General features: G+C 52.0%; 1 protein-coding gene and 1 long non-coding RNA gene across 8 annotated transcripts in view, besides 4 other annotated features; both read left to right on the top strand.

The window, feature by feature from the left end:
- Positions 5641-6464: an enhancer, noted in NCBI's record as "H3K4me1 hESC enhancer chr1:119544270-119545093 (GRCh37/hg19 assembly coordinates)". NCBI's record gives its function as "activates a minimal SCP1, AML or CMV promoter by ChIP-STARR-seq in primed H9 embryonic stem cells {active_cell/tissue: H9 hESC(primed)}" and the evidence as "EXISTENCE:reporter gene assay evidence [ECO:0000049][PMID:30033119]".
- On the top strand, positions 6706-7767 carry LOC105378933 (uncharacterized). Of its 2 annotated transcripts, none has more exons than NR_135035.1 (2): positions 6706-6821; positions 7218-7767. It is a non-coding gene; the product is annotated as an uncharacterized LOC105378933 (long non-coding RNA). The 2 variants fall into 2 exon arrangements; NR_135034.1 differs by having other exon boundaries at positions 6706-6842; positions 7221-7767.
- TBX15 (T-box transcription factor 15) overlaps positions 18601-23918 on the top strand; it is a 106464-nt gene continuing 101146 nt past the window's right edge. For 2 of the 6 annotated variants that reach the window (XM_047429131.1, XM_047429124.1), the window contains exon 1: positions 18601-19212. In XM_047429131.1, coding sequence (XP_047285087.1) covers positions 18819-19212 — 394 coding nt within the window. In that variant the 5' untranslated portion in view covers positions 18601-18818. Of the gene's footprint in view, positions 19213-19767; positions 20521-23918 lie in introns of those variants that run through there. The other 4 variants (NM_001330677.2, XM_005271161.5, XM_047429138.1 and 1 more) reach the window with 3 other exon arrangements.
- Positions 19835-20367: an enhancer, noted in NCBI's record as "H3K4me1 hESC enhancer chr1:119530367-119530899 (GRCh37/hg19 assembly coordinates)". NCBI's record gives its function as "activates a minimal SCP1, AML or CMV promoter by ChIP-STARR-seq in naive and primed H9 embryonic stem cells {active_cell/tissue: H9 hESC(naive and primed)}" and the evidence as "EXISTENCE:reporter gene assay evidence [ECO:0000049][PMID:30033119]".
- Positions 20368-20901: an enhancer, noted in NCBI's record as "H3K4me1 hESC enhancer chr1:119529833-119530366 (GRCh37/hg19 assembly coordinates)". NCBI's record gives its function as "activates a minimal SCP1, AML or CMV promoter by ChIP-STARR-seq in primed H9 embryonic stem cells {active_cell/tissue: H9 hESC(primed)}" and the evidence as "EXISTENCE:reporter gene assay evidence [ECO:0000049][PMID:30033119]".
- Positions 22221-22898: an enhancer, noted in NCBI's record as "H3K4me1 hESC enhancer chr1:119527836-119528513 (GRCh37/hg19 assembly coordinates)". NCBI's record gives its function as "activates a minimal SCP1, AML or CMV promoter by ChIP-STARR-seq in naive H9 embryonic stem cells {active_cell/tissue: H9 hESC(naive)}" and the evidence as "EXISTENCE:reporter gene assay evidence [ECO:0000049][PMID:30033119]".

The following is a 23918-nucleotide window of genomic DNA, read 5'->3' as shown; positions in this document are numbered from 1 at the left end:
CTCCTTGGGCCGGGCCGGGGCCGCCGGGCTGCTAGGCGCGTGGCAGCGAAGCTGGATACGGGCTCACTGTCCGCACCCTGCGCAGTCAGGGCCACCAGGCTACCTCAACCCTTCGTGGTGCTTCCCATTCCAAATTAGCATTGAGAGCCCGTGTGACCTTCGCGTGCCAGCGGATAGAATCTGCGAAAGGGAAGCAGACAGTGGCCTTTCCCGTTTCCTGGGCTGTGCGCGGGTGTGCTGGGCCCAAGCGCCCTCTGGGCGTCGGGGCTTCGCCTTGTCCCGTGTGCCTGCGCGGGGCCCGAGCAGCGGCCAGGGCCAGCAGTCAGGCGTGCGAGCCGGAGTACAGGCTCCCGAGAGCAGGGAGGCCGAACAAAGCCAGGTCCCGCTCCACAGAACAGCAGTGGAGGAACACTTCTCCTTCCTCCCCCACAGGGCCACCCCGTCAAAGAACAAGACACCCTCAAAAGTCGGGAAGGGACACTTCCTGAGGGACAAAACGTCAGGCAGAGAACTCAGAGTTCTTCGAAGGGCTTGGCCTCGGCGTTAACCACGACCCGGTCCCGGGAGCCTTGGGCCCAGTCCCCACGCCCAGTGGGCGCCGCACCAGCCGTGCGACAGGAGCCTGGATGCCCAGGAGGCGGCTCCAGGGAACTCACGCGCCGCCCGTTTCTCCGAAGGTTGTGCCTACGGGGCAGGCCTTCCTAGGAAAGAAGGGAAGGGCCGTCGATTTTCAGAATCTAAATATGTTGAATTCAAAACAGCATGGTTTTCCCCTTCTAGAAGACGGAAAAGAGGGTAATACCCGGGTTGGGGTAGACGGGGACACTCAGCCGCTCTTCATCTCCAAGCCCCTAGAAATAAGGCGAGGTTGCCTTTTTGCCACATCGCCGGCTGCCGAACCCACCCGCGAGTCCGGCTCACCTGGGGAGGTAACGCGGCCAGGTTACAGGGGACGATCCCCAGTTCAAAAACCTCGTCAAAGGTCCCCGCGCGTCCCGGAGCGCGTGAATTCACCGGCAGCGTCAGGTCCGAAGTGGCCCACGGACCGAGCGGCGCGTTTGGGCGCAGAGCGGGCTTTCTAGAGGACCTTGGCCAGGGATCTGCCCCGCGGCTCTCCCTCCCCGCAGCCCCACCTTGCTCCGAGCGGCGGCTGCCCGCCCGCCCCGACAAAGGCAGGCGCAGCAGCGGGTCTGCGTCTTAACATCGCAGAGTCGCTGGAGTGGCGCAAGACGCCCTCCTCTTCGTCAGGTGCGGACGGAGCTTCACACGGAGGCTCTACTCTCCTCCAAGACACGAAGAACGTGCAGAGCTGCGAGGTGTGTGTTGGCACCGCCCGCTTCCTGCGCTACAACGGCGGGCGGCTGTAGTCCCTTTCCCGCCTGGCTCCGGCGCGCCGACAGCCTCCCTGCCTCCCCACTGGCGGCAACACTGCGGGCCCGGCTGCTGAGCTCAAGCCTGGTGAAAAAGCTCGCGGCCAGGGCTTTCCCTGAGTCGTACGCAGCCGCCAGATTAGATAATTTAGAGATCCGACGCCACGGGGATATGCGCCTGTCTCTCCCGCACAGGTGCAGTGGAAACGATCATACGCGGTTAAGATTGAGGCTACGTTCCCAAAGACTAAATGGAAAAACAAGAGCGATGTTAGTAAAGGGAAAACCCGTTTGCTTCACCAGTTTAAGGTGAATGTGAAAATGTTTTCAACTTGATAGAGCTAGATGTTTTTTTCTGCTCTCTACTTCACTAGACAGAGCTAGGACGAATGGGCCATTAGGGAGGTAGTGTGCAGTTTTATAATGTCCTCTTCATCCTTAGAAGAAAAGTCTGCAGTTCGCAGTGCCCTCTCCTTGCTGCCTTAGCATTAAGAGAATTGTTATTTACTTCGGCCGCGGGTGCTGGGAGAGCTTGAACGCAGCGGCATCTGGATGAGTTCGGGTGGCATTCAACTGCGACCCCTTACCTTTGCCCCCAAGGCTTCTCGTGCCATTAATTTCCACTGCAGTCTATGGCTGGATTTTCTATTACTTAGGTTATTTTGCCTTCCTCTCCACTCCTTTGTTCTGTACTCACCAATTAGACCCCCAAAATACAGAATCCCAATATTGGTGTACCTCTCTTTTCTTGGCCTGGATTCAAAGTCGCCGTCCAGGAATGTGCTTGTACCTACAGATTCCTATGCTAAGGCTGCTGAGCGTCTTCCACTAGCTCCGCTAGGGAGAGAGTCTGAGCATTTCATACCGTGAAGTATGGATTGGATTTTACCGACTATTCCATGAAGCCACAGGCAACTGGGTCATTTGCTGCTACAAGGCTGGGATAGTGTCTGCTGGCCTGGTTACACGGATATAGCAGATAAGTTGGTAAGGGCACATGAAAATGACTGTTAAAAAGCTAAGTGACTGGTCAGTTAGGAAGAATAAGTTCAAGAGACCTATTGTATCACATGGTGACTGTTGTTAGCAATTTTCAAGAATGTATTGTTTTCATGAAAATTGCTAATAGATTTTAGATGTTCTCACCACACACACCAAAAAAAGTATGTGAGGTAATGCATGATAATTAGCTCAATTTAGCCATTCTACAACGTACACATATTTCAAAACAACATATACATGGTAAATATATATCATTTTTGTCAAATAAAATTTTTTAAACTAAGTGATATTTTGAGTCTACTTGTGGAGTTACTGAATTTCAAAAGTAAGGAAAACTAAATCCACCCTCCCCACTCCATCCTACTTTTTTTCTAGGTATGATTACATTCTATGTAAGTAAATTTGTATAGTCATGTGTATATTTGTGTATACATGTGCCTGTGTGTGTATATACTGTTGAAGTGTACACTTATGGAAATTGCCTTAAGTCAGTCTCTTCAATGCCATAGTCATTGAAAAGAAATCCATTGGTTGCCCGGTTATTTCCAAACTCCTTAGAATGATTCTGGAAGAGGAACAGACTTTAGGAATGGAAAGCATTATTTTAAAAGGATTTAACATATTTTGCTTCTCAGCATTATCCCCAAAGGTAGTAGGCTGGAAGTTGGAGCTCAAGGCTATTCCCCCTCCACTTCCACAACTGCACAAAAGGAAAAGTGTGAACTCCTAGGGCACCAGCAGACTTGTTGCCACCTCTGGCATTGACCCAAAGTGTGTGTGTATCCTGAAGTCTGAGTCCCATCACTCAGAGTTCTGAGTTGTGTCACAAACCCGCTATGAAGCCAAATTGGAGTTTGCTGGTTGAATGTGTACTCGGACACAACACACACACACAGACACAGACACAGACACAGACACAGACACACTCATACACATATTTACAAAAGAGAGCCTAGCAAAATGCCCTGTTTATGGTAGACATTCAATGATTATTTGCTGAGGGAATGCATGAACTTATGTGCATATCTACTTTGTTCAAGGCAAGGGTTTTCTTTTTAAACTAAATAAGTTTGTATGTGCATATGTAATACATATGTGACTAAGAATTGTGTGCATGGAATATAGGAAGATTTTTTTATTTGTTCCTTTTTGTCTTCTAGTTCTCCTGAGTAGCCCCCTCCCCCATGTCTCTGCCAGGGCCTTAGGTCTTTGAAACCGGTTGGTAAAATTATCCGACCCCCACCAAAGCCTGTCAGTCAGCCAGTAAAAGCAAATGCATCGCTTTAGTTACATCCTTGCTTTCCTCACAGATCACATTCATGTTTCTATAAAGGTTCTTGGGCTGATTTCATCCTGCACACCCGTACATTCCTTTGCAACTCTCTCTAGGGGGTATACTGATTGGGTTTCACAGGCCTGCAGACAGGCAGGTCGCCCCTGTTAGCCCACCTCAGCCTCAGTCAGCATTTTCACAGAGTGGCTGAACTTCTCAGAAAAGCTTAGAGTCTTAATTTGGGATGGGATTGCCAGCTCCAGAAAGGACAGAAGTCACTGTTCTCACTCTAGCTAAGACTAGTCTCATAGTCTATGTGTGTTTTACAAAATCATGCATTTAATCACAATAGTGTGACTTCAGAAACTACAAACCTGGCACCTCGGAGAGAAGAGTTCAGTGGCAGGACTTTGGAGCTTAGTGGGTCTCACTCTCGCCACCCAGAAGACCCCAGGTCTTCATCCCTCTGAGGGAGTTGGAGGGTCTTCTTCTAGACCCTAGCCAGGCCTGCTGCCACCTAGAGGATGCTGATACCCTCTTCTTTCCACCTTGCCCAGACCACACAACCCCCCTGCCCCCACCCCACCTTTTTTTTGTTTGTTTGTTTGAGAGGAAGTTTTGCTCTTGTTTCCCAGGCTGGAGTGCAATGGCGCAGTCTTGGCTCACTGCAACCTCCGCCTCCTGGGTTCAAGCGATTCTCATGCCTTAGCCTCCCAAGTAGCTAGGATTACAGGCTCTTGCCACCACGCTTAGCTAATTTTTGTCTTTTTAGTAGAGACGGCATTTCGCCATGTTGGCCAGGCCGGTCTCAAACTCCTGACCTCAGGTGATCCTCCCGCCTCGGCCTCTCAAAGTGCTAGGATTATAGGCGTGAGCCACCGCCCCAGGCCCAGACCCTTTTTGACCCTTTCTAAGGGATAGCAAGCTTGGAAGGAGCAGCTAGCAGTGCCCCAGTTGCTGCAGGGGAGAGAAGGAGCTAATTTCTCCCCATTAGAGCAGAATCAGTCTCCTGTATCCGGAAAACCCAAGCAAACAGAACAAATAAAGACTCTTCCCTTTCTCTTTCTCCTCTGTCTCCTTTTCCTTTCCTCCACCTCTCCTCTTATTCTCCTCCTTATACTTTGGGAGTACCAGAAGTCCATGAAGGGAGTCATCTCTAAAGGCTTTGGCCCCAGAACCACTGTCTGCTTAATCAGGAGGGTGATGGGGACAGAAAAGTATTTTAAAAGTTCCACTTAAAGCCCCACTTTGAAAAACAACAACAAAAACAAAAACTAGTAGCAGCTGTTGAGGCAACCTGGAATGTTTCAGATCTCATACCCAGCCCATCAGGAGAGACAATGTTCCTTTTTTAAATGAGATAGAACAATGATCAGGACTCAGCATGTGTAGGGGAGAGATGGGCAATGGAGAGGACTAACTTGTTTCTAACCCAAACAACTACAAAAAAGTCAAACTATGGTTGCCTCTGGAGCAGTTCTGCTGTGAGTACTTTCTCCTTTTCCCAGTACACTCCCTGTTGGCTCCCAGGAAAATATACCCCAGGATCCACACTGGAAACAGGAAACCCAGAGTGCAGCTCTCCTACTGAGACCTCTGATTGGAAGCAGGAAACCTTTGAGCCTCAGTTTTCTCACCTGCCTGCCCCACCCACATCAGAGGCTACGGCCCAGAAGGGCTTTGCTAGTTGCTAGCACTTTAATATTTATAAAGAACGAGAGTGGTGACAGCCCAAAGGCATCTTAGTGCAGGGACCTCCACAGCCTGTAGCCTGCTGCCTTCTTGAAGTTCTCCAGGGGCTACTTTCTGAGTCGCCTTTAAAAAAAGCAAAACCAAACCCCAACTCAACAGTGTTGAATCAGCTGCTCATTCTACCTGGTCCGCCCCATGTGATCTACAGCCACAATTGCTAACGGTCACCCAGGGACAAATTAAGGAATTGAAAATGCTGAGCTTGAGAAGTCGAATTCCTTACACTATTTGGGGTCGTTAATCACCCAGCAGAAACAGCAAGCAGGGAAAGTAGCCGGAGGGACAGAAAGACAGTGTAGGTCTGTGCGCTGGTGTTAGCGGGGCTCAGGTGGTCGGATTCAAATACAGATGTGCACACGTGTCAGATGTACTCTAAGTGGGCACCCAAGCACATAGTGGACCATTCCCAGGAAACTTTAGGCTGCCCCAATCACCCCAGTTGGACAAAATAGGAATGTGGTTTCTGTAATTAAGAGACTTGTGCAAGATTAGGTGGTGAGTCAGTGTTCCAGTGAGTCCTCTGGTCCACACCCACATCCGGGTGTTTCCTGAGAGGAGGTAGCCGGTTTCTCACCCAAGGCTGTGAGAAAAATAAGAGATTCCCTGACCCTCTCGGGAATCTACCCACAAGCGCGCCGGGTGAGGTTAAGGGTGCTCTGTGTGTGTGTGTGTGTGTGTGTGTGTGTGTGTGTGTGTGTGTGAGAGAGAGAGAGAGACACACAGAGAGAGAGAGAGAGAGAGAGAGAGAGACTGACTGACTTCTGTGCAGACCAGGAAGGGTGAAGCTTCACCACCACGAGCCACCTTCTAGAGTGGGGAATCCTGACAAATTCAACCTCTCCTTGCAAGGCCAGGAAACCTGGCGCTGGGGTTGGGTACCCTGGTAAGGGTGTTCCAAGACAGACGCGCTTTCTATAAGCGCCCACCGATGCTTGATTCTGCTCCCTTGCCCATTCGGAACCCATGAGTTTAGGCCTGGATCCCCCTGCTCCTGGGGCGTCCACACCGCTTGCTCGGCTTCCCGACCACGACGCAGGGCGGCACTAAGGCGCCGCGCTCTTCTCTCCTCAGTGGTTCTGACAGTGGGCGGGGGGGGGGGGGCTTCCGGTCACACTTTATGGCAGGCAGGCTCCGGGGCACAGGGCCACACTAGAACCTGCCCTGATCCGCTCTTCGCAGCTCTAAAGTTTTAGGGACAATTTGTTCAGTGAAGCTTCTCAGACAATAGAAAGTTCTGAGGTTTCCTGGACGTTGCGTTCGGGAGGCGGGGCCGGGACCCGCTGACGGCAGTTTCCCAGCCCTGTTCCCCCTCCCCTGCCCCCTCAGCCTGCGGGCAGCAGAAGGCGGCGGCCAGCCTCCTCCTGCCCCTCGGCCGGACGAACCGCGGCTGCCGCGCCTGTCACCTCTGCACCTGCCCGGCTGAGGTGAGATGCCTGGCGCGCAAGGTGAGGGCGGTGCGCGCAGGCCCGCACAGAACTGTTGGGGCTGCCCCGGGGTCGATGACTTCAAATGACGGGTGGGAGAAGGGCCTGCGAGGCTAACAGAATCACCCTCGGGGGAGTGGAAAGAACAAAAATTTTTAGGTGACCTAGGTAATAGTCCTAGATTTGAGGCTCAGGAACCTGGGACCATTTAACGTCAAGTTGTAGGGACGTTGGTTTCCTTATCGGGAAACGAGAATAACATTGTTGCCCCACCCTCCCAAGGTGAGGATAGCTCCCAGATTGGAGATGCAGTCTGGTGGGCGGCTAGAGAGATGTAGAACCCAGGGCGGGAAAGAGCAGGCGCGCTCTCAGCTGTTTTAACCCATCCTTTTTTAGTAGAAAAATCTGAAATTTGAAACAGAAATGGCCACATAAGGACAACTCAGATGAAGTGCAGGCGGGCTGACATCGCGCACTTGGGTCTTTCCGGGAAAGACAGCCGCGCTCTGGGAGAAGCCTAGTCCTCCGGCTTGTCCCCGGACCCGCCCCAAAGGCCGCTGGGAGCTCGGTGAGGACGTGGCGGTCCCCTTGCTCATCTGACTCCGGAGGCAGGTTCCGCAGAAAGAGCTCTCAATCTCGGCCGCTGGGCTCCAAGATAATCTCCTGGCGAAAGCTAAGAGGCGGCCATCCCTTCCCGGGGACTCAGCCCCTAGATTCAGCTTCTTCCGCCGCAAAAAACTCCCAAGCCCTGCGAACTCGCAACTTGCCTCTCCAGGCTTCCGGCGTGGGCGTCCCAGCTACACTTTCGAGCACTTTGCTTGGCCGGCATCTACCCGCTCTTCGATTAAGGAAAGCGCAGTGGGGACAGAGGCAACTCCTGCCTCCTGTACCAGGCCTACGTAGTCGCCCAGGTGGCCGGGTCACAAATAAACAATTCCACCATCAAGAAACCCGCTAACCTCTGTACCCCGCTAACCTCTGAAAACCTAATACTGATCCAGGTCTCCCAAATAATCTGAATCTCCCCCAGTCCTTCCGGTGGAACAGCTAGCCTGAGCGCAGGGAAAATTGACAAGGAGCCTTCAGCTAGCCTTCTAGCTTTGAGCTTGAGTAGGGGCATGGCTACTTGGTGGCTTCTTTGCGGTTTATTGGTGTATTTGGTGACTCTACAGATCCAGATCAGCCCCCACCCCACTCTTCCTCACCACGCCTCCCCACCCCCACCCCACCACCGCAAGTTGGTGTCTCTAGAAGAGCCTCAGGGTTCTGAGTCCCGTGGGGGCGCTCAGAGATGGTCAAAGCAAGGTTTCTCCACAAGCTCTGAACTCTGAAGCTACACGCTTCTCCGCTGCGCACCCTGCCAAACTGGTGGGGAAGAGATGTTAAAATACAATGGCAAAATGCACTGTTGAGAACCCTTTGAAGTTGGGCAACCACGGCTGCGCCACTCTCCCCCTCTCTTTCCTCCCCATCTCCCCACTCCTCCAGATGCACCAGAAATCGGCACTTTGATCTTGCAAAGCAGCAATTTATATTTATTTAATTTTTTTTTCCTGTAAAACGATGATTGGGCCGGGGAGAAAATAATGTAATTTCACGGGCGCAGGGCTGAGCAGCGGTTGTCTAGGCCATGCCGGGGCTGGGTGAGGGCACCATGCACATCTGTTCACCCGGGTTTGCAGCGCATTCCTCTTCGCCAGCGTTCTCGTTCGTTCTCACTCTCTCTCTCTCTCTTCCCCTCCACCGGAGAACCGGTCAACCCAGGCAGGAGGCTAGGCTTTATTTGTCTTTGACGAAGAGATGCTGGGGGCGATGGTGGGGGCTTGGGGAGTGCAGGAGGAAAAGTCAAGGCTGAGGCTCCAGTCCGGGAAAGTGAATTAAAGAGAGGGGAGGAGACGCTCAGAGAGAAAACCACCTCCTGCCTTGGAGAGGGAAACTCAAAGCCGTTCACCTTCTTCTCTAATAGTGGAGGGGTGGGGGCAGCTGCGGACTCAGTGGGTGGAGGGCCAATGTATATATCTTTCCCCACATCCAGAGCACGGAGATTTACTGGAATAACTCTGATGTGCAACCTTTCTCGGCACTTTGCCTAATAACCTCAAATTGGATTAACATTTGGGAAAATATTAACTACTTAAAGCGACAAACACCACGGCTTCCCACTAATTTCTCCCACCTTCACGCTGAACCCAAGGTCCCTCCGTCCTCTGCCCGAGTCAATCTGGCCAAACTCCCACTGCTCTGGGTCTTCCACTCCCTAGGGCCCTCAGTCTCTTAGCCCTTTCTCCCAATAACCACGTTTTCTTTCTGTACTCTGAGATCTCTTGTCTTTGCTCTCTGGCTGCCCAGAGCATGCTGTATCCAACACATCAGTGTTTGAGAAAGGAGTTCAGGAGACCCACCCCTACCTGGCCTTCAATCTGCACGGCTGATTCCTCCAGGCCCTTGACCCTCCCACCCGGCCCCCTGATGCTTTGTGCTAGGAACCCTTTGCTGAGGCCTTCAAGCCCCAGGCAGTGGGCCACCCTGGCTCTACTATACATGACGTGATTGGCTTGCTCAGAAGACATGTTCTAGGACCCCTAGTCCTCTGCCAGTACCTCAAATTCTGATAGGCTCAAGCTGCTTGGGGAAACCAGGCCAGTGGGGGGGGGCACTGATACATGCCCCAGACAGAGGTGCAGCCAAGGTCTCAGTAACTGAGAAGCAGTGCTCACCACTTCCCTTCTATTTTTCTTTCCCTTTGTTTCCTTTTTCCATTCCTTTTCTTTTTTCCATTCCTCTCTTCTTTCTTTCTTAAATTCTGTCTTCTCCTTCCATTCCCTTCTCATGTTTCCCTAGCTTTCATTAGCCTCTCTCGGTTCTAAATGGCTGCAATCCACATTCCTCAGGACCACAGAGGCTGCTAGTACACTTGTCCACTGGCATCTCCAGCCCTAGATAGAGCCCACAGGGCGTGCTCTGGGAAACTGGGAGCAAAACAGGAGCAGCTAGTGTTAGAGCCCTCAGGGGCCTCCCAGGGCCCAAGGCCCAGGTGAGGGACTCAGTGGCTCCTCCTTGCACATATCTTTTCTTTGAGCATCTAATGCTTCCACTTGCTCACCTCCCTCCCCACAGTCTTCCTCAGGAAATAGGTGCTAGCTGGGCTTCCAGCCACAGGTTAAAAAAATCAGGAAAAATAGATGGAAAGAAGACAAACGGTGGTGGTCTCTGGATGATACAAGAGTCTGCCACAGTCAGTTGGCTGGGTGAAAAAAAGCATCTGTAGCACTGAAGGAAGCTCCCCCAGGGGGGCGGACATGGTTGAGAGTTACTAGGGAGGACAGGAGGGAGATCCAGGAGCAGCACAGAGCAAACGCCTGGGCAACACCTGCACCAAGGAAACCTGGGCAACACCACCTCACCTCAACAAGAGTTTTAATGCAGCATTTGCACAGAGCAAGACGGCCAGTGAGACTGGATTTGCCATCAAGGGAGAGAAAAAGTAGCCTGAGAAAAGAGGCTGCCAACATTCCACTGAGAAGTCCAAAATGGGGAAAAGGCAAAAATAAAGAGGGGAGGTCTTCTTGCATTTCACCCTCTTCCCTTCCCTTTCTGGATCCCACAGGAAGCGGTGGTTTGGGGCCTGGTCCAGGTCATCCCAGGGACTGGCTTCGTCCCCTCCATCCCTAAAAGCTTCCTTTACTCTGGCAGCCCAGGCCCTCCTGGCCAGCCTTTGCTGGGGGCAGGTGGGAGGGGGTGGGAGTTGGGTGGGGTGGGAAAGAGCTAGGCCTGTGGTCTCTGCCAGGGGAGGAGGCTGCAGCCACCTGGGCGCCAAAACAAGACCAAACTCACTCCCAGAACTGGAACTCCTCTAAGCCCAGAAGTCGAGAGGGGCTTTGCAGCATCGCTGCCAAGGTTCGTCTTTGAGGGGTGGGGACTTTGATGGCGAGGCTGTCTCTCCTTTCCAGCCGCTTTTCCTAAGGCTAGTCTGCAGCTTGACAGGAGCCCTTCAAATTAAGCCAACAGCTTTTTCTCCCGAGCTGAGGTTTTTCCTCTGAACTCTGGAGTTCTGCTCCCTTCCATTGGGCTCCAAGGACCTGTGAGGTTTCTCTGTCTGTCCCCTTTCTCACAAGGAATCTGATTTCCAAAGTCCTCAGCTACTCTGATAAATAACTGACACCAATAAGTGCTCGGAACCTTAAGACCATTTCTTAATTGCATTTCAAGTGGATCTGAGCTGTAGGGATGCCAATTAAAATAAACAGAGGACCCCTGAGTTGAGCCCTGTGAGTGTATGTATGTGTGTGTGTTTGGGGGTGAGCGAGAGGGGAACTCAGTTTGAAAATATTTGAGGGCCCACCATAGGCAGCTTTATTTCACTAGTGGCCATGATAGAGTGATGGAGATAGCTCCCATGCTGGGTTAACACACCCTGTCCTCAAGAATCTCCCAATTGGCAGGCAGAGATGGTCTGCTTGGCACTTGCTACAGACCACCACTGCGAGGACAAATTCTACTTAAGACGTAATTGCTGTTACCAGCCTACAAGTGGGTGGGGTTGAAAGTCCAGAAGCCTTCAGAGAACAAGTGGCTCTGGGGTTGAGCCAATAAAGGGTCAAAGCCATCTAAAGCAGATGCTTTTGAGGTGAAGCCACCAAAGCTGACTGGCACCCAGAGAGAAGGCTGACCAAGGGCTGGTCTGAGGCGGGCAATGGGGATCCTGATGAGCAGAATAAGAGCTTAGCAGCATGATCCCAGTTGATTGCCCATAGCCCTAGGTGACTGCCTCCAGGTTGCCTTCCTGGAAGCAACCACTGTGGCTCCTGCAGTGATACATGTTCTGTTAGGCATCTGGCTGAGCCGTACCTTGAGTAATGTCACAGTGGGAGACCCTGCCCCATTATCCTTTTGCTGGCAAGGATGCTTTGAAGCCTCTCATGTATATTTTAGATCTGGGCAGGCAAGACTTTTTGGCCTGTGTAAGACAGTTCCATCAGTGCCCCATCTTTCCCTACTAAGTTACTTGAGTCAGTTGCAACCGGAGAGAACTTAGGTGTGCACAGAGAAGGGCTGAGGGCATAGGAGCAAATAATTCCAGCTCTAGAATTCTTTTTAGAATTTTACCTGCACTAAAAGCTGTGAGACCTTTGCCAAGCCGCCTAACTCCTTTGTACCTCAGTTTTCTCATGTGTAAAATGGGGCCGGTAATACTAGTTCTTGGCTTGCAGAGCTTGAAGCAGGTGACATAAATCCATGCAAAGCACTTAGCACAGGGTGCTAAAGTCTGGAGTAACAAGCTCAGTAAATATTAGCTCTTCTTAATTTGTGCAGACCAGAAAGAGAGGAGATACAGAATGAAACTTGATGGCAAGAGAGGAAGGCCGTGGAAATAAACACTTATCTTGTTCTCTTTGTCTTTCCTGGAAGGAGAGGCCTCTTGATAGCAAACACCTTCTGCTGTTTTCTGAGCTGACTCAGAAGTTCTCATATCCTGTGGGAAAGGCAACCAAGGATAGTAATATTGGGTGTTGGTGAAGCTTCCATCCACCATAGTGCCACTGACCCTTGCCCCTCAGAGTCATCATGCCTCAAAGGCCCCTAATGCCACAGACACCATTGATAATTAGGAGAAAATGGATTCATGAATGGTTCCATTTTGGAAATTCCTTCATTCGCCTAGATTTGTAGGCTGTCTTACAAAGTCCTTGTGAAAGTATGTGAGTTCAGTATTTTTCTTGGTTTCAGATGGACCACTTTTCTCCCTGCTGGCTTTCCGGGGTACTTGGCAATGGGCCAGAGTGCAATGCCTCTTGTGGATGTTTGAGTAGGACCAGCAGTTGGGACTGTTCTGCCCCCAACTCTTCCCCAGCAGCAGCTCAAGGGACTCTGGCAATGTTTGACTCTCAGCAGACACCCACATATGTGTCTCTGGTCTGAAAGTACAGGCAGGTTATAAAACAACATTTAAAAATTACATATATCAATCTATATCTACTGATTTACTTCAACCATTTGGAGGGCTCATTTGTGCAGGGACAACTGTGCACCTGATCTTGGTAATCTCCTTACCCTGACTAATTTCAGTGTCACAGGATGCTATGCATACCACCCATGAGTTCTGGATTCCTTCCTATCCCCTTAGATTTGGTTTCAGGTAGAAGAGGTAGCCCATGAGTTATGGGCCAAAGTCACATAAAAGCCTCCCATGGACTAGCTCACACACCGCCAGCTCCCCCAACCTCACCTGAGGCTGTGGGCAGAGGCAAGAACAATTCCAGCTGCCCCAGCTACCCTAGCTACCCTGACCTCGGCAGCCTGGAGGATCTAATGCCCCAGCGCCACCAGGGAGCTGCCCAGTTGTTCCGGTGTGGAGAGTTGTTTTCCACTCTCCTTGAATAATGGAGAATAGCTATTGAATAATGAAGAATAGCCACCCCACTCTCCTTGAATAACTATTTCCACTGGTGGAGAGGGGAGACTGAGCGTAAGGAGGCTGTAAAAATCCACATATGGGACTTTTTGGGCGATGGCTCAGGGCTGGGTAAGCTCTTGAATTTCCACCTTGGACATTTTGTGGCCATTTATTAGCAACAAATGAAATTCAACCACTTCTGGAAAAAATAAAGTCATCATCAAATTAAATCCCTAATGCCTAAATTCAGCTGCCTTTAGCTGCTGGTCCTTGTGCCCCAACAGATTTCAGTGCTAGAGGCCCCTCTCCCCTCCCTCCTTTCTGCCAACCTCAGCCTCCCCACCACCACCCGGCAGAAACCTCAGGTACCCCCTTTATGTTCCAGGGTTGCTACAGAGATAGACTGCAGGGCCCGGTGCTTCTTCCCTCATAAGCTTTAGATAATTCTTCCTCTCAGTGGAAAAAATAAAGGGAGAACTCTACTTAGCCAAGCACCTGCAAACCCAGCATGAAGCGGGAGATAGAGTCACATTTAGAGGGTGAACCTGGTAAAACTGGGGTTCCTGAGACCAGAAAGAACAGGAAAGAATTCTCTGTGTAGGACTCATCTGGCTCCCAAGATTTAGCTTTTTGGCCTGAGGCCTGCGGACTAAAGGGCCAAGGGAGTGCACATGAAAGCAAGACAAAGCCCTGCTGCTCCCACTTGGCCCCACCATTTCTCACTGTCCTGTCTGTCAGTCCCTGCTGAGGATCTTGGGGCTTTGGAAAAAAGTCCTAGTCACCGCCAAGAACTGGGTGGCTCTCCGGAGTAGCGAGGGCTGGAAGCTGGATACTCCTCATGTTTCATTTCTTTTGTTGCTTCAGAGACCTTGACCATTCAGGCAATCCCTTGCAGATAAAGGAGAGGAGGCTACCGGACAGCCACATGGATTAAGCTTCAAGAAGCCAGGGAGATCCCGGGAGAGTTATGGATTGGGGACAAGAGATGCAGCAGGAAGGATGCGTGTTGATTTCTGCAGACCTTGGGGGCAATTGAGTGGGGCCAGGATGTTTCCTCACATGCCTGTGTGTGACGCTGTGTACCCACGTATGTGTTGTTTCCACATTCTTGTTTGATTCTAGAAAGGTACATGGATACAACGCGTGTGGGTGTACGAAGTGTATGCATGCTTATGTGTGCTGCCGGATAAACATATGGCTTTGTGTAGTCACACATGATACGTGCATGACGCTTGTACTTAGCTTCCTATAAAAAGTATATGGTAGTTGCTGATGTACCCGTATTTTTTTCGGGGTGCACGTTGGGGCCTCAAAACTCGCCGACTTTGGATTGGGTTTTATGGTGCTGCTAAGCAATCCCGAACTCCTGAGAGTGCAGAATGTTACCTTCCAGCATTGCGGAAGCAAGGCAAAGGAGAGGGGCTGGAGGGCTTCCCAGGAAGCCCCTTCACCTCGCACCCAAGGCCTGTCTTTCCGCCTTGGTAACCTGAGGCAGGCTCCTCCCTCATGCTCAGTGGGCTCAGCTCAGGCTCGAAGTTACGCATCCTGCATCCTGCGAAGGCAGGCAGGACCGGAGCTGGCGCCTGGAACGGCGGGCGCACCCTGCAGTCGAAGGTCGGGCTGCGGCGTTGCACGAAACGCCGTGGGGAAAGAGAAGCTGGGCCTGGGGGAACAGGATTTCCTCACCTCTTGGGCGCGGCCGCTCCGGCCTGGCCACACAAGGCTCCCTTTGTGGAGGGGCCCTGCTCCTGCGCAGACCGAAGTCAGCGAACAATCGCGCAATTTTGCGGCCCGCCGGCCCCGGCTCTGCCGGCCACACCGCGGCGGCCGAAGGCGAGGAAACCGGGTGGCGCTTTTTTATAGTCACAAATATAAAATCGGGGCTTCCCCCCCCTTTTCGCTCTCCTCTTGCCCCAATGCCGATAGAACGCAGATAAATTTATGAAGGGCAAGCTAAGAGAATAATTACAGGGTGAAGGCCGTTAAATTTTATTTCCAGTCCCAAAGGCAAAACCTGCGATTTTATTGCAAACATCTGGAAGGACCAAGGGATGGGCACGCTGCTGGTTTAAAATAAAAATAAAAGATTTTATTTCGTGAAAACAAAAAAACATCATTAAAGACCTTTCACCCCCATGGACTTTTATTTTTAAAAAGTGTGAGGGGGTGCTTGAATAGTTAACGACTTATGCGGGTCCCGCAGCTCTCTGCGACTTAAAGGAGCGACTGGAGGTGCGGCCCGCAAGAGTGGACCCACGCTACCTCCGCGGCGCTGGCCTTGGGCGGGCGTTTCCAGAAATCCACTCCCTCTCCCCATCTCACCACGCCCGAGGGTTCCAGATCAGTTATGCTGTCCCATTTCATGCTCCTGTGTTTTTTGTTTTGTTTTGTATTGTTTTGCTTTGTTTTGCTTTGGGGGCACCAATTTGGGAAAACATGTGAAAAGTGGAATCGTTGACCTCACATTCCCAGAAGATTCGATCACAGCAATAATAAAATCTCAGATCTGTCCAGCCCCACGGTCGATGACCTTGCCTGCTTTGCTTAGTTGTAAAGTTTTAAGAACCCTTTCACTCTGAGGATAAGGAAACTGAGGCATGGGCCATTAATCGACTTGCCGAAGGTCACACAGTTTGGAGGTGAACCAGACCTGGTCACTAGGCTCCAGCTCGCCTTGCAGTCTAGATGGTTTCTTCCCACCCCATAGACGCCTCATAATGTTTTATACCTACCTTGATGGGCGAATTCATTGTAATTCTCTCACCCCCACAGGGTGCCTTACCCACGTGTTTAAGGGCAGCCTAATATGTCCGGCTGGCCAACTATTTTTAACTTTGTTTTCAATTACTCACTCAAAACTCTGAAATCAAAGCCGGCTGGTGGTTCACCTTGGTATTGAGGCATTAGCAGTGGTGTTATTTAAGGTGCTATTCAGTGTGGGGTAATGGGAGGAAAAGACAGGTATGTGGAGGATGTGGGCGCTCCGTTTCTTGGAATGCCTATTTGTGTTTATGACTCTGATCTGTTGTCGCATGACTCTGCTCTTCCTTTGAAAAATCAAAATATCTGGACCTGGTCAGTTGTAGGTGAACAGTTACTGTATTGCCTTTCTCTTTCTAATTTTTCCCCTTCCAAGACTAGGCCTGGACCTCCACCCCTCTGTAAGCCCCTGCAGGTAGCCTGTGAAACCCCAGGGCTCCTCAGACTTCCCAGGTATCCAATAACCTTCGCTTCCTTTTGGGGGACCTGCAGGGGGTAAGTGGGAGGCAGACATCTTGCTTGGTCTTTGTCAATCAGTTTCAGGCCAAAAACAGCCCTGAAATGGAGTCATTTCAGGGTGGATCGCCTGTAGGATGCACTCAGGGCGAAAAGTTGAAGCCTGTAGCAGGGAAACCTAGGTAGTGCCTAGGGAATTAGCCTCATAAACTGCGGACCCCACCCTTACCCATAAAGGTTAAAAGAGAGATAAGCTGGGGTAATGAGGAGAGACTTTTAAAGCCCGTTGATGTAATCAGTAGAAGGAAAATTTGTATCACACTTGCAGATTCTTACATGTAATCTCCCAAAGCCTCCCTCAACTGCACACGAGTGTACACCTAAGCACACATATTAAGCCATCCTGCTTACTCTTTCTCCAGATTTTCCTTCCCATCAGCAGTCACCCACCAAGGAGTGCATGCTTCTGGGAAAAACCTTACATTAACTCCTATAGAGTCACGGGAGTTTTCACTGCTCCTCCCATTTACTTAGAGGAAACCCCTTATTTTCAAGACTGTTAAAAACCATCCTGCTTTCATTTGGGTTCGGTTGGTTTTAGTGGCCTAACCTACAATTCCAGGATATGTGTGTCTGTGGAATGGGGGTGGGAGCAGCCTATGTGCAATCTGAAGGAGGGGTGTGGAAACTCTTCTGGCTGACTCCTGACTCTGCGGAGTGCAAGCTTCGGAGAGGATGCAGATGCATGCTGTTGAAACCATTGCTCATTCCTCTATGTATGCCTCTCAGATGCTGCGTCTTTGGACACACAGGAACAATCGGGCCTCTGGACTTGCAATTATGTTCCTAGATAACCAAAAAGTCCTCCTTTTTTTTTTTTTTTTCCTTTTTTTCTATTTTTGAGAAGACAGGTTCTCACTCTGTCACCGAGTCTGGAGTGTAGTGGTGCAATCTCGGCTCACTTCAGCCTGGACCTCCTGGGCTCAGGTGATCCTCCCCTGTCAGCCTCCTGAGTAGCTGGGACTACAGGCCCACACCACCACACCTGGCTAATTTTTGTATTTTTTGTAGAAATGGGGTTTCTCCATGTTGCCCAGGCTAAGTCCTCCTTTTTGAGAAAATTCCATGGTCTCAGAGAGGGTGAGGCATATGGTGTACCCGCTTCTCAGTCCAAACCAGGCCTGTGAGAAACTGTGAAAGGCAAAAGGCTGCCAGAGAGAGATGGGAGATACCGGCTATGGGGATGAGAAAAGAGCTGGGAAAGTCTAGAGGCCGGCCCCATTGCTACCCCACCAAGCTTGGTAGGGGCAGGCTCCAGCCGCAGGCGGAAAACGCCGGGCGACACCAGAGTTGGGAGGTGAGAGAGAGGCCCCAGCCGCTGGGGAAGGAAATTGCGGGTTCCCGTCTGCCTTGTCTCCAGCTTCTCTGCTGAAGCCCGGTAGCAGTGAATGCGCGCTGACTTTCAGCGACGACTCCTGGAAGCAACGCCAAATGCTGACTGAAGTGGGAGATCCTGCGCCTCTCCATCCGGGCTCCCCAAGTCCTCTGGGCAGAGCTGCAGGAGGCGGGGACCAGTACCCTGCTTCCAGCTCCCCAGAGTTCATGTTCGTGCTCCCTGGGGACCTCCAAGCCTGAGACACAGGCTCCGGGGAGGTCAGGCTTGGCTGAATCACACTCATCCGGTGGCTTTTCCATTGTTCTTTTTGCATTCGCCTGGGATGCTAGCTTCCTGACATCCTGGTTGGATCCTAATTTGGGGCGGGGGTGAAGGAAGGGGGCAAAAGTAGCCTCTTGTCCAAAGAGGCCCAAGGTGAATTCACAACACTGTGGTTGCCTTCAGCACCAGAACACTTCCAACTGTAATAATAAAGACTAGATTTCCCTGGGCCCCTCCGCAGTCCGGCAGAGAATTCGGCGTTTCAGAGGCCTGACAAGTCATCTTTTCTTGCCGCAAGGTGGGAGAGCTGATTCTCCCGGGCCTCGCGAAAACAACAACAAGAAATCTTAACAGGCTGTGGGCCCCCTAACCTAAACTTTCAGGTTTGGAGACTTCTAAGGGCCTGGCTGTCGTCACGACTGGCCTGCTTGGCCTCTCAGTCTGTCCCCCGCCCCCGGGACCCAGCTCTTTCCGGCTTCTTTGCAAAAGGATAGAACCGTCTCGACCAGGGCACTAGGACTGGAAGATCGGGCTGTGTCTAGGCCGCTGTCCGCGAAATCCGAGACGTTTTTTCAGCTTGGCTAGGACCGACTTCGCTGCCGGTTTGAGCTTTCTCTGCACTCGGGGGTCTCCTGCCGTCCTCGACCGGTGGCGTAACTTGGGAAGAGGTGTGGGAATTAAGAATGGCCAGGAGCGTTGGATTTTTTAATTCCTTAGAAATCCATGTTGAATGCAGTCCTTAGAGATCGCAAAAGGCAGGGGGCGGCCAGGGGGGAGATCAGCTGGCCGGGAAAGCCATGGTCTTGAGGTAACGGGATTTGCAGGGAATTTTGAAAAAGCTCCTTCTCTTCTGTTAAAGTTCCTAGCTGTTCTTGCCTGTCACCTCTCCATAGGTTCTCTGCAACAAGAGCCCGGAACAGGCGAAGCGCAGCCCAGCGTTCGGGCCGTAGGGAAAGAGAGTATTTGCGGCGTGAGGGGGCCCAGCTGGAATACGCCTGAGGAGCTCGCCCTAAACCCCGCGCTCCGCCGCCCGCCCCTTGCTCTCAAGGCGCCTGTGTCTCCTTCTCCACCAGGTAGAGCTGGAAGGAGGAAGCGGTCTTTGAATTTTCAGTTACAAGACCCTGGTTAGTAACAGGGCTTTCTGTTTGCTTGTTTGTTTGTTTCCTTTTGCCTTACCCAGATTTGCTTAGAAAACGTTCAGTAGGAACATTAAAACCTGTGTGGCGAAATCCAGGAGGAACCAGAATATTCTAAAGCACCTAGGGGCTGACGCGAAATTATCAGAATCGTTTTCTGGCATTTTGGACAGGTTAACATTTTGTCAGAGCCCCAAAATTCCAGATCTGCAACTAAAGTGACTCTGGACTTGCAGCGTCTATGAGACCAGCAGATCTGGAAGAAAAACGTATGGATTTGGGATTTGCAGGAGTTTGTAAAGGCGCAGATCAGACCTCAACTTTCAACTGTCCTACCTCCCTCTTGGAGTAACCCATGGGGAAACCGGGAAGCCAGGGGTTAAAGTCGGCCCAGGAGCATCCAGGGGACGACTGGCGCTGCGCTTTGGCCCGGGCCTCAGTCTCTCCCTTCCTCTCATTGGTTCGCGCTCTCGGAGTTTCTCTTGTTCCCTCCTCGCTATTGGTTGGGGGCTGGCTTTTTTCCCCCTCAGTCTTTTTCTTCCTCCCCCTCCCTCTCCCTCACCCCTCGGACAGGAGCGCACCGCCTGCCCCCTGTTCCTCGGGAAGGGAGGAATTTAGCGGAAAAAAAAGTTTCCCAGAAGTTTGGATCACAGGGAGGACGGGAAGGCAGAGAGGAAGAGAGAGAGAGGGGGAGGAGAGAAAAAGAGAGGGAGGGGAGAGAGAGAGAGAGAGAGAGAGGAGAGAGAATAATAATAATAACAAAAACAAGATGAAGTTCAGTGGACACAGTCTGTGAGCGCCTGCCCCGGTGGGTGGGAAGCAGGACTCGGGCGCTCATGCAGCGAGCGGGCGGCGCTCGGGGCGCTAGTTCCTAGCAGCTGGGCCAGCGTAGGGGCGCAGGTCGGATCCGGCAGAGGAGGGCGGAGGAGGACGCAGGGGGAGGGTGGAGAGACCCGCGAGCCGCAGTCTCAGCCTCGTCCGACGCGCCTCCGCCTCTCCCGGGCCGGGCCCGGTGGGCGCTCAGAGCTTGAGGGCGCCGGCTGCTCCCTCGGTAGCGGGGGCAAGCGGAGGCAGGGGTGTGGGCGGCTAAAATGAGTGAAAGGAGAAGATCTGCAGTCGCCCTGAGCTCGCGAGCACATGCCTTCTCCGTTGAAGCCTTGATCGGCTCAAATAAAAAACGGAAACTGCGAGACTGGGAGGAGAAGGGGCTGGACCTGTCTATGGAGGCGCTGAGCCCCGCGGGCCCACTCGGAGACACGGAGGACGCGGCGGCACACGGCCTGGAGCCTCACCCGGGTGAGTGCGTCGCAGCCGACCGCGGGAGGCGGGCGGAGAGGGGACGCCGAAGGGCCAGTCGCCGGTCGCGGGTGAGGAGCTAGGCCCTGCCATTGACGCCCTGCCTTGCCCCAACATAGGTTTCTGTTTCTTCGCGCAAATGCCCTGAGCCTCCCTAAATTCACCGGAACCAATTTTTGGGGCTGGACTGAGCCTTGCATTTTCGTCGCCAGCCTAAGCAAGGAGTCCTGTTTGTTTGCATTTCTTTTTCTTTTGGGTGGAGAGCGCAGCTTTCTGGGTGTCCGTGGATGAAGGGCTGCCGGTCCCTGGGATTGGGAGGGGCGCGGGCCGAAGGCAACGGCGGGAGCCGAGATCTAGGACTCGCTTCTGAGAACTCGGGAGGACTGGCGCGGCGTTCTCCAATCCAATACCTCAGTCTTCGGGGAATGACCAGTTGTCTCATTTAGCCTTCAACCTCGTCCTTGCCTTTCTCCCACCAACTTTTCGATGGTGGAACATAATTATATTTCTACTCCTTTGGCGTTTACGGAAACAAGAATGGATGTTAGACCCCTTACTCCTTGGGTCACTCTTCAGGGCCCACATCTCTGTGTATTTAGGGTGTGGGTACGATTGATTTGTGTCTCAGATCCTACAGTAACCCATGTATATTATGTGCACGGAACATGTAAAAAGCAGGGGGGATGTCATGTCTGTATTTTAACAGAACCCTAGGAGGGGAGAAGCCAACTTTAACGTTTTGTGTTAAGTGCCAAGATTTCAACTGTGCAAAAACAGCCCGGGGGAACAGCTGTTGTCGGAAGAATCTTGAGTGTGCGCGCGCGCACATACAACGCTCGCAACTTGGTTTAGCGGTTTCAGAAGCTTTCCAGCCCGGACTTCTAAAACCATGCTGGAAGGTGCTCCTGCTGAACAGCCAGAGCTGGGGAGTAGACCCCGCTTCACACGCTGACAAGCCCGGGGAGGGGGCAGCGGCCTGCACTGGGATAGAGACGGTCTGGGGCTCAGGAGCTTGGGGATCTCAGCCACAAAGCTGTCCAACTCAGAGGAGGGACAGCTGTCGCTTACATTTTCTCTTTAGGCAGTGACAGTTCAATTTCCATGCTCCCGAGGCTAATAATAATGCGATTAGCGGGTGACCTGCAGAGATAGAGTTTTATGAATTCTCCGTGTTTTTGTGGCCCGTTACGGTATTTGAGTTTAGTGCTGGGGAATTATTTTTATTAGTCGATGAAAAGAAAATTAAAAGGAGATTTATTTCGACCGTCCAAGCCTTTTCCTGTATTTGAATGCAAGTGCTTGTCCACGCGGACCCCTGCGTGGGCATTCCAGAAAGGCACCCAGGGCTACTGTGTGTTTCCCTTCGCTGGCCAGACCCTATTTCCTCAGCTCATTTATCTATTGTCAAAATCTCGCGTGGGCCTTCATACAGTTAGAAGTTCTTGCAGGGGTTATGACGCCTTAGAATTTGTAAGGTTCTTTTATTTTCCCCACGGCGGAAAAAACAGAAGTTGTTTAGCTGCGCGTGGCAGACGTCCTGTCCCGGGGAAGTTTTCTCTTGGGAGGCCCCAGATCGCACGGAGCCCGTCTAGGGCCTTATGTTCAAATGGGTAATACATGGGGTCATAATTAGAGATTCAGATCAGAGTTTGCTCTTTCTGCCGTTCTCCTTAGCCTGAGCTCCATTCAGGAGGCAGAAGAGAGAAAACTTAGGGAATGAGGCAAAAAGAAACCATTCCAGAGCGTGAACCTGGGGAGCTAAGCTCATGAATTCTATTTACTCGCTCCCGCGGGATGGGGGTGGGGTGGAAGATCTAACAGAACTAACTTTATGTAACAGAGTTCGGTTGGTCATTTCCCATTACGTTATCATTTTTTAAAAAAGAAAAAGATGGGTATTTGGATTAGAGAAAACGAAATATATTTGTGGGGCAAGTGTCTAGGAGGAAGAAGCTGAAAGCCCAGCACCCTCTGGCTTTCTGCGGAGCTGGGCTACAGGCCGGGCCTAGCCTTTTAGTGGGCCGGGGGAATCCTTAAGTTGGAGCCCCCGCAATGGCTAAGCCTTTCTTAACGATTTGCTGATAGGATGAGAAAAGATCTTTTAGTAAAAAGGGCGCCGTGGCGTGGAGACGCGGCGGTCCAGGGAGCAGAAGAGGTGGAGCTGTCGGCTCCAGACTCAGGCGGTAGCGAAAGGCGCGACCAGGGCTGGGGGTGTTTTTAGGCCTTTCTTTTTCTGTAATACAGCACCCTAACGAACACACACAGGGACACATTTAAAGATGTGTGTATGGAGGAGTAATGCAGGCGACCCTATTGTGCCCAGGGCAGCGTCTCTTCCCGGGTGAGCCTCATTGTTTTAACTCTTTTGTCCTTAGGGCCCAGAAGCCGCTGCGTGGTTCTCCCGCCCTAGGCCGATAACAAACCGGGAATAGGAAAAAAACAAAAAATTGTTTTGCGGGAAGAATGAAACACACACACACACACAAACACACACGCACACGTTCATGCCTAGAGTATTCTCACCATCTCTCATAGCACCGTTTTTTAGTCCGCTCTGCCGGAGCTTCAAAATTCCGCGATCTTTAGACAACTCTAGGGTCAGATTTTAATGTTTAACTTTCATTCAAAGACGAGGCCTTTTGCTTTTTCACAGCCCATTTTTCTTTCCGCGTCTGGACAGAGCTGGCTTTAGTTGGCGCCCGAGCACCCGCAGCTTGGGGCACCAACCTGCAGCAACGGGGGATCAGTCCGGCCTGCGCGTTGTAGGCACTCACTCCACAGAGGAAACTATGTATTTCGAAAGCGTTTCAAAAATTCCACCGAGCCTGGTGGCCCCGAAAAACCCCAAGGCCCGCCAGACTTTGGAGAAGGGTCTGTGAGGTACCCTCACTGTCATACCTACGCCGGCACTCTCAGTCTTTTGGAGAAGCTACTAGAGAAGTGCCTCAAGACCAGCCTCGGAGGAGCCTGGCTCTCGAGCCTGCTCTCCCCCGCCCTCTCCCAGAGCAACAGAGGAACTTTCGAGCTAGGATCGGCTGGAACAGCTGCTCCGGCTGCGGCCTTGCAAGTATATTGCTGCGGCCTTGCAAGTATATTTCAGGCGCTCGGCGGCGCCATCTGCGCTCGGACCTCAGCCCCTGCTCCACCCGGAGTCCTCAGCTAGGGCTTGGGCCTTTCCCGCCAAAATCTTCTGCTAAGTGCTGCCGAAGCCGGGTCTCCCGCGGAGCGAAATAATGTAAACCTTCTGTGGAGGGATTTCCTCCTCCAGAAACTTCGGGCCGGGCCACACAGCAGCTGCGTTCCAGAGGCCTGGGGATGTGGTGGCGCGCGCGGGTGGGCACCTAGACAGGCACATCCAAGGACACGCAGGCAGATCGACACTCCGCGTACACGTGTAC

Source organism: Homo sapiens, chromosome 1, assembly GCF_000001405.40.
Source record: "Homo sapiens chromosome 1, GRCh38.p14 Primary Assembly".
NCBI classification, from domain to species: domain Eukaryota; kingdom Metazoa; phylum Chordata; class Mammalia; order Primates; family Hominidae; genus Homo; species Homo sapiens.
This window is presented reverse-complemented; position numbering and strand designations above follow the sequence as displayed.